At 33.9% G+C, this 14545-nt stretch overlaps 1 long non-coding RNA gene across 1 annotated transcript; it reads right to left on the reverse strand.

The window, feature by feature from the left end:
• Positions 1-899: 899 nt before the first annotated feature.
• On the reverse strand, positions 900-5734 carry LOC105373770 (uncharacterized). The gene is made up of 4 exons (XR_923637.3): positions 5615-5734; positions 3033-3064; positions 1980-2048; positions 900-1051 (listed from the first exon to the last, which is right to left on the reverse strand). It is a non-coding gene; the product is annotated as an uncharacterized LOC105373770 (long non-coding RNA).
• Between the last annotated feature and the right edge of the window lie 8811 nt (positions 5735-14545).

Consider the following 14545-nt stretch of genomic DNA (forward strand, 5'->3'; position numbering starts at 1 on the left):
ATATTGACTGATGAACTAGGCCATCTCTGCTTTATAGTATGCAATAGTGTACTGAATTGATCACCATATCTGTTCATAATATTCTTGCTTTGCATGAAAGGAAATAAAAACCTCCACATATTTTCATTTATTTTTATTATCTCTTATTGTACAGCATTTTAGAAATAATTCAACATCAAATAAGAAGACATCATTTCTTCACAATTCTGTCATCTCAATAAATCTAACTTTTAAATTTTTCACATTTTTTGAATCCTTAGCAATATATGTACAAAATTTTTAACACTATAGTAAACATAGTGACAATACCGTTTATGCATCTATTCACCTTTCAACAAATATTCATTGAGTGCCAACATCATTTTAAGACCTTAGTATACATTATAAACCAAAAATCTTTGCCTTCATGAAGATTAAACTTTGGGAGGTTGAATACAGATAATATAAAAGAATTACCCAGCAACTTGGGAAGCTGAGTCAGGTGGATCAGTTCAAGCCGGGAACCTAAGCAACATAGTGAGATCCCAACAGAGAGAGAGAGAGAAGTAAAGTATGTTGATATTAGAAAGTTTTGCCATACTATAGTTAAAAAATTAGAGAAAATATGGCAGGGGAAAGGTGTGCTCGGAGTTTGGGGAAGGGCATTGAAAGTTTAAATAGGATAAAAGAGTAGACCTACGTGAGATCCTGACACTAGAAACAATCTCAAAAGAGAAGAAGTAGTTAGTCACATGGATATCTAGGGAAAGAGAGGTCTAGACAAGGGCCAGAGCCAATGTGAGGTCCCTGGGCAGGGACATGCCTAGGAGGTCAATGGGGCTGGAATGCAGGGAACAGTAAGGAAAGTCATAGGAAGTGAAGTAAGGGAGGGAACAGGGGGTCAGGACAGGGCCTTTAGGGCTTTCTGCTTGGAGTTTATTTTTTTCACTTACAATCATATCAGAAGCATTTTCCATACTGTTACATTCTCTTCTGCATCAGGTATATGGCATGACAGAGGAAACAATTCCTCAAGTGTTGTTGTTCTGACCAATGGAGCATAACCAACCTTCTAGGAAAAGAGAAAACAGAAAAAGACACACACCAGATAGACTCCATTTTTGAAATCTCTCTTCTTTCTTCACAATTTATTTCCACTTATTTTTTCCTATTCCCATTACCACATGTAGATGCCTAGAAAAAAAATCTAATATTTATATACCTTAAAGTATTAGGGTCTCAATCTTCTATTTTCCCACCTTTCATTTTGAATGTGAAAGGAGCAATTTTAACAAAAAGGGAAATTGCAAAGAAATAATTCACACATTGGAACCTGTCCCCATCATGTATAAAGGAAGACCCTGTTTGAAGGCCTGCTAGAATATGCAACACAATAATGGTTTATATGACAGATGAGTCTTTAGTAAACCACCGTGTTTACCCTCCTGTGAGTGTATGTGGCCAGAACTGGAATTTTGTGCAAAGGTGACTAGTTAAAACCATACGATTCTGAGGCACATATTCCTTCCACTCTAGCTTTAAGAAAGTATGTTCTTTTCCCAGGAGATAGTGTTAGAATTGATCTGCCTCACACCAGTGTTTCATCTCTCTGTGCTAGTTATTCTGAGAGCTTTACTCATTTTTCCAAAACTATTGTTAGTATCCTTTGTATTTGCAATAAACAGAAACCAGAGACTGCTCATTACTATGAAATGCTTTCATGATCTCATATTATTTCTTTTTAAATGCAGCCAGCTAAAACATGTTCTTGAAATGTGGCAATTAATCAACAGATCCAAAGCAAATTTTCCTTTTTGCTTTCAAGTGACTAGTTAATTAGATGATTTACTATTTAAATGCTACTCAACCTATGTGACTGTTCATTATACTTATTTCCTGTGTCAATATAAATGTAAAAAACTTAGAATAAATAATACATTAAAATTGTGCTCATTTCATTTCCTGCTATTTTGCCAGTTTCACATTAGATGCATTCCTACCTGGAAACACATTGATCAGTTGAATTCTCTCACATCTTTATTATTTATTCCTTATGGAAATATTCATTTCTGAGAATTATAAAGAAAATATTTCAAGATTTTGTTATAATTGATATCCATATCATATTCAATCATTCTCTTTTTATTACTATCAGAGCTGTTTAACTTGACATACTATCAGTTTGTAAAAACACACTTTTGGTTTCTGTAAGTTCATACTTTCTGTCATTAATACAAATGCATAGATTTAAGTAACCTTAAACAACTACTTATAGGAGGCAGAATAATTTTTAATGACATGAAATAGATATCCTCCTATTTCCCCATTGTTGCTTCTAAGCCATTTTTCCTTCATCACTGGGCGTCTCAGTTCCTTGGCATGCCCCCTCTAAAGAGCTTTTCCTCCGTAACTGTGCTACCTTGAAAAATCCCAGTTACAAGCATCCCCACTTCTAACCTCCAATCTGTTACTCTAGCACTTGCGTTTTAATAACACCTTGACTACATCAGGAACTTTAATCCATTCACGTCGCTGTTGGTCACCTCCATGTTCCCATGTCCTTCCTTATAGGCTCAGCTTAGATTCTGGGTCTATAAAAATAGGCACTCTTTTTCCCTCAATACGTTTGCCTCTGCAAATGCAAATGTTCCCTTGCTTGGTACCTACATTCAAAATCTCAAGGGCCAGTCACACATTGTCAAGTAATTATATTGTACCTCTTCAATAAATTGCATTCCCTTAGTCTCTGAAATGAGTAGTTCAGACCCCCTTGTTTTTTCTTTGAGTTTCTAACCCTAGTCCTTATCTCCATCTCAGCCGATTTTCACTCACATGTAGAGGGAAAATCGATTCTATCAGATGAGAGCTGTTTCCTCTTCCCAAAACCAAATTCACCAACCACCCCACATGTATACTTCATTTCCTTTGAAATAGAAAAAAATGTCTCCCTTTCTTTCTAGTATTAAACCTCCATATGCCCTCTGGATTAACCCTACAATTAGTTTTCTGAGGTAGTACCAGGCAGTCATTAAGAATGAAGATAAATTACTTACCCTCTGTGTGTCTTAGTTTTCTTCTCCATAACCTGGGAATAATAACAGTACCCCACTTAAACTGAGTAAGGAGATAATGAATTACTAAGTGTGAAGTGATTATATTACATTTGGGCATAATAAGTACTTTATAATTGTCAATCATTTTTTTCTCAAAGTTTTGTTTCTGCAAATTTCATAATTATCCCCAGAATCAATTTTTCACTTTCACCCAGATCATCTCTATCAGTATACAAAGATGATTTAAAAACTTCCTTTATACACCAGGTCTGCCTCAAAAGCCTCACTGTACAGTATATACTCACTGTCCATACTCACTGTCTTCACTTTCTCACTTTCAGTTATATATTCAACCCTCTCTAATTAGGCATTGGAGTTCACCACTTAAATAAATCTATATTTCCAGTTGTTCAGTCCAAAACTTTACATTCTGCCTTTACATTTTATCGTAAATATTGGTACTTCTCATTCACCTCATGTCATCACTGGGGTTTGAGCCTCTGAAAGTTTTCATGTGATTCTAGCAATAGACTTCTAACAACTTTCTTACTACTTACTACTTATTTATGTATTAACCAAAGTCTTTTTAAAATTATAAATCAAATGGTGCCACTCCCTACCTAAAAATAGTACTTTTTCAGTTGACAGCAGAATAACATCTAAATTGCTTACCAAGAATCATGCATAATCTCCAAATCTAGGATCAGACATGGTTGATAATTATCATGCTCCCATCTAATATTTTTGATGCTTTTGTGCAAAAATTTATCATTTATATATATAATTTTGGATCCCAGTTTTTAATTTAATGACATATCACAAGAATTATGTCATTAAAATGCTTACTTCATATTTTACTGGGAGCATAATATTTCATCATATGAATGGAACACAATTTATATAACTAGTCTTATTTATGTAGTGTTGAACATTTGATTTTTGTGAAGTCAGAGAACAGAATCTCAGTTTTCACTTATTGATGGAAATCTTGTGGCAGTTGAGACAGAATAAAATTTTCTAGAAGAACTAGGTAAGAAAGCTATAACTCAGGAATGTGCCATACCTAGATAATTAGTTTCCAACTGAAAATTCTATAAATAAAATGACGTTTGTCTACTTTATGCATAGTAAGTGTATGTGCAAAGTTAAGAAGTGTTTCTGGCCTTTAAAATAACTGGTCTGAAAATTAATTTTAAAAGATCAAATTTTAAAGAGTAACCAAGTGATAAGAGGGAGTTGAGCAGGTACATTTCTGAGGTATAACCAATACAAGATCTAAAGATCCTTAATTAGTATTAGTGATCAGACAGCAGGGCCTGCTAACACACTCAAATTGAATCATGTCAAAATTTGGGTGATTTGGAAGGAAAGGATCTACCAAACCTCTACGCTACCCACAGACTTCAAAATATAAAGGCATATGGTTCAATAATATTGACAGTAAATAAATAGTTACATTAGTAGCATATTTATCCAGAGTTTACCAGTGGTCAGCCTTAATAAGCAGTGATACTATATTTTCTCTAAAAAAGGCATTGTTAGCTTTTGGTAACATGTATGCCTTTCTTATTTCCAATGTATCTTAAAAAAACACAAAGCCTCCCCAGGAAACGTATGTATATAAACATAAAATTTTGTGTACAGATTCAGATGATTCAGAAGTGCTCCAATTAATGTTTTATCCTAGCTTAAAAATCATCAAGAAGAGCATTAAACGAGTGTTCAAAAGCGTTTTCATTGACAGCATGAATAAATGTAGCCCATTAGCAAAGAAGGGTAAAAAAAAAAAAGAAAAAATCTATAAAACAATCACAAGATTTGAAAATGCTTGGAAATTTATTGCAGTGGTAAGCGGCTCTATATATCTCATGTGACAAGTCCATGATTGTTTAACTGGATTTAAACAGAGTATTATGATAGATGTTCAGAGCACATTCCCTGAGTTATCAAGAATGACTAAACCATCTTTGCGCTTTCTGTTTCAAAAGGCACTTTAGAAAGGATTCCACCAGAAATGACTTAAAAGTATTAGGAGTTTAAAAAAGAATACGCCTGACATCTTCCCTGAAGAATCCATCTCTTTCCCCAGTGATGCCAGATAAATAATTTACTACTGTGGCAATATCAATCTCTCCTCACATGTTTGGAGACTTTTCTTAGTTACCATATCATTTCAACTAATTAACAGGTTTGTTTGAGGGACCCGTTTCTTAAAAAAACTTTAACAGTTTTGTAAAAATTGATTTTTGTAATAAATTGACATAAGTTAAATAACAAGATAAGTCATCATTAAAGAAATCCCATGACAAAAGATTCCTTTAACATGAGTTTCTGTAAAACTTAATCTTCCTTATGACTTTACATGTACTATGAGGGCTATAAGACAGACAATAAACAAGTATTAGTGAGGATATGGAGAAATTGGAACTCTCATACATTGCTTGTGGGAATGTAGAATGGTTCAGCTGCTTTGGAAAACAGTTTGTCAGTTTCTTTGAAAAGTTAAACATGGAGTTAGCATACGAACCAGGAATGCCATTCCAAAGTACATAACTAAGAGAATTGAAAATGTCTGTCCTCACCAGAACTTGTGCATAAATGTTCATAGCATTCCAAACATGTTCATCATAGCCAAAAAGTTGAAAGAGCTCAAATGTCCATGCACTGATGAAAGCAAGACAAAGTCTTGCTTTTTGTCATACCTAACAAAAAATGAAAATGGAAATATCATCATAAAAAATGAAATATTGATTCATGCTACAGCACGGATAAACCTTAAAAACACCATGCTAAGTGAAAGAAGCCAGATGCAAAAAGGCAAATATATGATTCCATTTATGTGAAATATCCAGAATAGACAAATCTATATAGACAGAAAGTACATTCATGGTTTCCAAGGGTTGGTAGAAGGTGGGAATGGGGAATGACTGCTAATGGGTATGGGATTTCTTTTTGGAATATTAAAAATATTCTGAAATTAGGTAGAAGTGAAGGTTATACCTTAGTGAATAGACTAAAAGTCACTGAATTTTATACTTTATAATAGTGAATATTGTGCCATGTTTATTATATCTCAATAAAAAGTCATCTTTTTATCAATTTGTATATTTCATACATAAGCTCTTGAAATGAACCATGCCCTTGATGTATTTTTTTCTTATGACTTTTGCAACTGAGCCCTGAGGATTTCAAATAAGGGAATGTGTCTCTAATAAAGCAAAGTTATAAAGGGCCATTATTTTGAGGACTAGTCATGTCAGCAAAATGATTATTAGTAATTTTTTAGATTAAATATATGAGAAGAATGAAGAACTAATTATATCAGTGGCTCCTGTTCTGTCTCTCTCTTTCTCTCTCTCTCTATTTGATTACAGGCTCATGAGCAATAGTTCTGTTGCAAAGTAAACATCCATCTGTTTAGAAGTTGCAAGAGGGTGCTGAGCACTTTCTTTGGTGCTGTATTTCCTAACTGACTTATTCAGTTCAAATTAAGTATTTGATCTTTTAGCTACAAAGCAATGCAACCCAGTCTGGGGATGCTGAAAATTGTTAATTATGAAAATGACACAGAGGAGAAGAGAAAATATTTAGCAAATACATTAAAGCTGTATAGGAAGGAAAGTAATAAACCTCTACGTAAACATCTGTGGTTTATGAGAGTATCATATATTTTATTATTAAGCAAAAATCATGAGGCAGCAGAGAATATACTAATAATCACTAATATTTTCCAAAACTAGATGAATTGCCTGAGACTGAAAAAGTTACATTTGTTGATAATAACATAATGAGAATATTTGATTATTTCCCTCAAGGTAGAATTTTTCAATATTCTGCTGAGTATACAGGATTCCCTCTCTTCTTTTCACTGTTTCAATGACCTTGTATCTTTTTATCTAATAAAGCAAAACACTCATTCAACAGTTTAAACCGTTGTGTCAACTCTGAGGGTTTTTTGTCTTGGTCCTTAGCATACGAAACACGTGTAATTTGTAGCCCTGTCATGAAACTATTGGAATTTCTTCTCTCATTCTCAGTTGACATTAGTAGGAATACAGAATTCTGGGTAATTGTTGCATTGTTTATTTCATAGAATTTTTTATTATAATGATATATTTGGTTATAATGCCCAAACTATTTCAACCTTGTGTCATAAAAATTTCATTTTAGAAGTAAAACAACTTCAGTGAATCATTGCATCCACACAATATTATTGGTTTTACGTAAGGTGGTCAACATGGTTTAGCAAGTTATGTAACTGTTTAGTTTTATAATTCTATAAGGAATCTTATACATATGATTCTATAAGGAATTATAACAATGCTTGACATATTCAAGGCATTGAAATCATAATATAGAGCTAATTTTAAACAGTAGCAAGATAACAATTTATTCAGAGCCCCATTAAAATGTTCAATATTCAGCAATTAAGACATGTAGTCAGACTTTTTTAAAGAATGAAGAGAGTATGTTACATTTTAAAAAAAGTGTCATCACATAGCTGTTTTTGTCAACTCTATATCTGGCTATAGAGGAAAGAATATAAAGAAATGTGTAAATTCATAGATAAAAATGTGTTTTAAAGTGTAGAATGGAGGATTAGTGGGCTAAAAGGAGTCTTGGGGTGGGGGGGATCAGGACCATTAAAATATCAATATGTTATGTTACTTTAGACTAATGGTCAGATGAAGAATAAAATTGAGGTCACAAAATGGTTAGGCTTGGCTCTAGGAAAGGACAGGGATTTGTAATTATGGAAATAGAAGCTTTGATTCTTACAGACATGGGGACATTTAAGGTAGGCGATCAGTGTATAGGAAGCATATGGAGGCAACAAAAATACCTATCGTTGAAACATGAATATAGAGATTCCAGTAGTATTTTCTCCAGTTTCTGAAACTATTTTTACCCTGATTATTTTTAGTCATTTCTTTTCTACCTCCCTCTCCTGAGGCATGATTCATCTCGTTTATCAAAATTCCTGCCTTAGGCTAGTTCTAACAGCCCATTCTTCCTTTTCATTATGAGAATGTGACCACAAATCCTTCTGATGTTGACAGAGAAGGTGGGGCACTACCAGGTCTCATTGCATTGAATCAATATAATAACCTATAAAAAATGATGGCAGTCTTATATTCATGTGAAACATTTTGTGGGCTACGGTCACAGCTCTTTCAGCCCCTAGGAAGTGAGGGGGTATATTAATTCAAGATATCAATGGTATTATTATTTATATTATCAGTATTAAATATTAGGTGACTTTCCAACTCTTTCTGCAGTTTTATCCTTTTAGGTATGACTGGTTCTATTATCTTTGATTTACAATGTCATCATACTAGATATATGATCCTTTGAAACTAAGGAAGGATAAGCAAGATATTCAAAATGTCCCCATGTCTGTCACCACTACAGCAACTATTTCTATAATACAAAATCCCCATCCTTTTCTAGAGCCAAGCCTAATCATTTGGTCACCTCAGTTTTATTCTCTATTAGATCATTAGTCTAAACTAACATTACGAATTTTTTGTATTTTAACAGTCCCTTCCAGAAACTCTTTTTATTCCACTAATCCTTCATTCTATACTTTAAAACATTTTTTTAATTCTATAAATTTACACAGTTCTCTACAATTTTTCCTCTATAGCCAGAAATAGAGTTGACAGAAACAGTTATGCAGATACTTTTTAAAAATTAACACTCTCCTTTCCTTGACCAGTGTCTTACTATATCTCTAAAATACATAAAACACCTTTTTAAATCTCTGAAATAAAATATTAAATTATATTATGTTAGACTTTTAAAAATTACTGTCAACTTTTTCCATACAAAGATATTGAAATCTATCCAAATCTAAAGTTTTTCTTATCTCTTTAATATTTTCTATTTCATCTTCATGTTCTTATTTGCTTAATTTGTTCTATGCCTTAAAGATCTATGTGTTTGTTTTTATTTTTAAGTTGAGTGCAGAGTTGACTTAATATATTCCTCAGCCCATTGCACATTGTCATCATTGGTCAATTCAAGGCTTCCACCTTATCTATTGTTATTTTTCTTCTTCTTCTCAATGTCTGCCCCCATTCCCCTCTTACACATGGGCACCACCCTATTTGTGATACAGGTCTTAAATATGCACATATTCCTGTAATATTATTATGTGACGGTATTTTTAATCTTGTGTATAGGATATTTTGCTGCTTAAGCTTCTCTGCTTCTTACTTTTCGTGCTTAACACATTTGAAATTTTACTCTGTGGTATTTCCTTCCTTCCTTCCTATAGTTGGTTTTTCCATTGACTTCATGGTCCATATTTTACATGTTTTTGATCAATAACAACACAGATTGTTTCCAGCTTCCTGCCATTCCTAAAAATTATTTTTTGCCATTCTGACTGTGTAAACTGATATATTATTGTTCTTTAATTTTTCCTTTATCTGATTAATAGTAGGGTCGAGTATTCTTTCATATATGTTCCTGTTAGCCATGGTATTATCTACCTATACACTGCTTGTTCGCCTATTTTCCCCATTTTTCTATTGAGATTTCTGTCTTTTTCTTATTGACTTACAAATGTCTTTCTTATTATGCCATCTATCTGTTGATTTTGTCTGTTGTCTATTAGACGGAAATCCTTAATTTCAATGTAATCAAATGATCCATATATTTTTGCCATACAGTTTATATGTTGGGGTTTTATTTAAAAAGTTTTTTCTATGCCTGAATTACAAAACTTTTGTTTACACTTTTATTCGTTTTATTTAATAACAAGTTTTAAATCTGTCTACCATCTATGCCATGGAAATGTGCACTGTTAGCTTTATTTTTCTTCATATACTAATTCTGTTTTCCAAATACCATTCCTAAATGATCATTTTTCCCTGTTACTTTGTGGTGCTATGTTGAAAGCTAAACATTGTTCCCATCCATTGGTTTATTTGTCTATTCCTGAGTTAATACTATACCGACTTTTATCACTAGAGATTTGGTTACATTTTAATATAGGTAGAATAAGCCCCTCCTCTCTAACTGTCCCATACACCTTTAATTTTCTTTTTTTTAAAATTGGCTTTTATTCTTCCATATGAATTTGAGCATGAGTTTGCCAAGTTCCAAAAAATCTGTTTTTAAATATGTCTCTTAATGATTATATATAACAGCATATTTTTGGATTTTGATTTAAAATCAGAAACCTATCTCCTACAACATTTTGAAAATATTATATCACTGTGTTCTACACTCAAGCATGCCTTTTTGAAGTCTGAGGCCAATATGACTTGTTTCCCTTTATGGAGAGTCTCCTTTTCTCTCTAGAAACTTTTAAGTTTTTCTCCTTGTCTTCAATAGCCATGTATTTTACAATGTTTTTAGGTTTGGGTTTCTTATTCTCTATGCTGTTTCATTCTGAAGCCCTTTCAATCAGAAGTTTTCCAACCTTTTTCAATTAGAGAAATTTTTCGATGTCATTTCTTGAAATATTTCCTTTTCTGTGTCTACATACATTTTTTTTCTTTCCAAATGGAATTTCTTTTTAAAAATACTTTGATATTCCTATTGCTGACTGCAAGTATGTTGACTTTTTTTTCCTCTCTCTTTATTCTCTCCTAGGACATTTTGGGAGAATTTTCTAGCCCACTTTTCCATATTCTGTCCTATTATTTGGCTGTATCTTTTAGCTATTTATCCAAGGTATTGGTAATTTATTTAAACTAACATTTTTCACACCAAGTGTGCCTACTTGGTTCTTATTTATAAATGCATATTCCAACCATTCTATCTTAATTCTTTAAGAATGTTTACTAGTTTTGTTTAGAGTTTTTGGCTAGAATTTTCAGAAGCAGTGCTAATGCTGGGTCACCTAGTACGTGCAGTTTGGATGGCTGCCTTTCTTTGCAACAATTATGCTCCTCGGGTGTACAGTTATTTTTGTTTTTGAACTTGTTTTGCTCTGGCTGTTATTGGAAGATGGAGGCCCAGGTTCTAGCTTGTGCTCCTGAGGGTTGAAGAGTAGGTGAATGTGGATGTTGATCATTGGCAGAAAACCCACCATGCCACAATTTGAACATGACCATCCCTCTTTGCACTTTCCTCACCAGATGACTGTCAACCCTTGATGGTAGTCAGATAATGCTGGGGATGGGTTTGGAGATGGTATGGGGTTTGGAGATGCTATGGGGTTTGCCATGCTCACAGGTCTCTTTGTTATCTCTCCTAACACTTGTCAGGTTCCTGTGTAGCCTGAATGCTATCTGCTGGCCCTGTGGCACTGGGTAGTCAATGCTGTTTTTCTGTCCCTTGAGCTACCATGTGGCCAGGAAAGTTCTTAAAGATACAGATTAAAAGCCCACCCTATCTTTTTCCTCCACCATGGTACTTTGTTCCTCTACCACATCCATGTTCAAGCACCCCTCTCAATCTTTGTCTGCTTTTTTTTTTTTCCTTTAAATCCATTTTATTTTACATCTACTACATCTTCTGGGGTGAGAGAAAAGGAGAATAATGGCATTTAAGAAAATTTTCGTTTTGTTGAGTTCTATTCACATTGTTTTCAAATGATTGATTTCAAAATAGTGCCAACTTTCATTGAATGCTATGTTTATACTAGGCCTGTGCTAAGAGTTTTGTACATATTACATCATCTAATTCTCATAAAAACTCTAGGAAATAGATGCTTTCATTGTTCTCATTTTACAAAGGACAGAAATGAAGTCTAGACAAGGTACTTCACGTAGGAAGTAACAGAGCCAAGGTGCAAATTTAAGCTGTCAGATTCCAAAGTCTATTCCTTCCAGTCGATAGTGTAATTAGTGTAATTTAAATTAGGTTTGTTCTGGGCATCCGTGGATTGACTTCATAATATCCAAAAACCTTCTAAAATTGCGTCCAAAATTTTTGTGTTTATATATACGAGGTTTTTTGTTTGTTTGTTTTTTGTTTTTTGTTTTTTTTTTTAACTACAGATTGAATTCATTGCTTTAACTGGATTGTCAAAGGTTTCTATGAGTCTCCATGAGATGAAAACTGACTTTAGGTGAAGTCAAATTACACAGGTGCTTTGGCACTGAAGTCAGCCAGTAATGTTAAAATTGCATATAGTGATTTACCTCTGAAACTTTCTTAAATGACCCTTATGTTGCCTAGACTAGGTCACTGGAAGCTCAAAAGCCAAGGATTAGTATGTATTTTTCATTTCTCTTTGCTTTTAGGTGCCAGTATTTTTTTCTTGGGACAGTGGAGGACAACTAACTTTGAAAATGTGATGGGGATTGACAAAAGGGGGCATAAATAAAAGATTATCTCTCAAGAAACGTGTTTAATTGTGTTTATTCCAATGCTTACATTGAGGCGAAAAATATGTTTAAAACTCAACTTCAACCTGGTATGAAGACAAAAGAAATAGCAATATGTTCAGTAGCTTGTTCTGCATGCCCTAAAGCCTGTCTGTCTAGTCATAATCAGCCCCAGGAGGTGTCAATTTGGCCTTCTTGAGTGCTCAGCTGATCCTATTCACTCCAGCAGAATCTGGTAGGTTTTCTATTCATGGGTTCTAGGGAAGATGAGTCCTGTTGAAAAACTTCTAACAATTTTCTCCTGTTAATGGAAGATTTTATGATGAAGCTTAGATAAAGATCTCTTTGAGGTGCCATTGATTCAACTTGTCTCAATTTCAGAGCTGACTATAGCTCTCAGGGCTCCTTTGTACCATGAGTTCCCTCAGTTCAATTTCCCCAGCCCCGTTTTCAGGGCAACTTAATGTCTCATCCCCAAGGGAAGTCTAGAACTAAACTAACTTCAGAAAACAGGTAATTATGCTGGGCAATTAGATTAAACTTTGCTCTTCTGAAGTAAGCTCTAAGGCACAATCATATTCATAGAAAAATACTTAAATGATAGACATGTAGTACTTTTAAAATATTGAAAGAGGGTAGCATGCATAGTTTCTTTAATGGAAATGGAGCACAGTATGCTATCTAAGTAAAATGAAGGGTAATTAGTTTACATGTCTATTTCAGAAATTGAGAGGGTAGAAAATATCAAAACTTACCACATACTGCTTTCAGAATTCAATTATTCATTTAAAACAATACTGATCCGTAATACTGAAAGAAAAGAAAAGAAGTCTGCCAGCTTCAGCCTTGAGATATTTTGTGTTCTCTAGAGTCAATTTATTGGTTTTTGGTGTCTGGTCCCACATGGACCTTAAATAAAACTTTTCTATGAGGTGTTAGCCAGTAGCTTGTAGAAAATGTTTTCTTGCCAAAGGCACAGAATGTGAATCTTGAGTTTTCCCACAACGAGTAACTGAATCTGAAGGTGTCAGGAGTAAAATGACTCCATCTTATAATCTCTCCCAGGGGCAAGGAGCTTCTCACTTCCAGAATAAATTGATGATGAGGTCCACTTTCTACCTGCCAGCATGATGATCAGCAAAGCTTTCACTCCAGCTTGCTGACAAGAGAAAAGTGCCTGTCCCAATTGGTAGGTGTATGTTATTTATGGAATGGAAGGCTTTATAACCTGGTATGCACAATGGTTCCACTGAAAGTCTTCATGTGTTATAAGCACAGCTATTTGTAAATTGCACTCACAGAGGGATACCACTCCTCCTTCCCACATACATGAATTTTATTCTTCCTTCTCTTCGCAGTTTCCCAATGTGATACTCTATTTGATAGCCCCTAAGCATCTCATTCTAAAACCCCAATCTGGTATCCTCATGTGTAAACTATAATACAGCTTACGTGAAATGTAAAGGGCTTTCACATTTGTTTTCTATATCCATTTAACTCTGAGCAAATATCACCATCTCAGTTTACAGCTGAGGACACACAGACGCAAGACAGGAGCTATCACTACACAATCTGTGTTCTCTACTTTTCTACTGTTTTCCTTGAAATGAAGTTCTCAAAGGTATGTAAGATTCATTCAAGTTGTTTGCTAAATGTAATAGGAATTCTAGTTAATATGATGCTTAATATCACCAGGCACTCTTTTAAGCACGTCACATATATCAACTGAATTTTTCCTCACAACAGCTCTGAGTTAAGGACTATGATTTTCGCATTTCACAGGGAAGAAAGTGTAAGTACAAATAGGTTTTTTAATTGCTTAAGGATTAACATTTAGTAAAATCTGGAGCTGGAATTCAAGCCAAGGCAGCCTGGTTGCAGAGTCTACCCACTACACTGGTCCCTAAGAAGAGTCCTTGTTCCCTCTTCTACAGATTTTTTTAAAATTAGCATCTGAGGGTAGATCTCTGGAATCCAAATTTTCTTTTTTTTTTTTTTTTTGTACTGGTTCCTTTATTCAAATTAAGATATTACAATACAAAAACATTGTTCTAAATGTAGGCTTATAATGAAAATCATACTATTCCATACACTTGCATAAATGACTTAAACAATTGAGAGACAATATTTCCCAAATAGTATATCATAGAGTTAATAACTGAAACACACCATGAAAATGCTCTGTGGTCAAACAGATTTGGGCAATGCTGGTTAAGTAAAGTTAAA

Source organism: Homo sapiens, chromosome 2 (genome assembly GCF_000001405.40).
Source record: "Homo sapiens chromosome 2, GRCh38.p14 Primary Assembly".
In the NCBI taxonomy this organism is placed as follows: domain Eukaryota; kingdom Metazoa; phylum Chordata; class Mammalia; order Primates; family Hominidae; genus Homo; species Homo sapiens.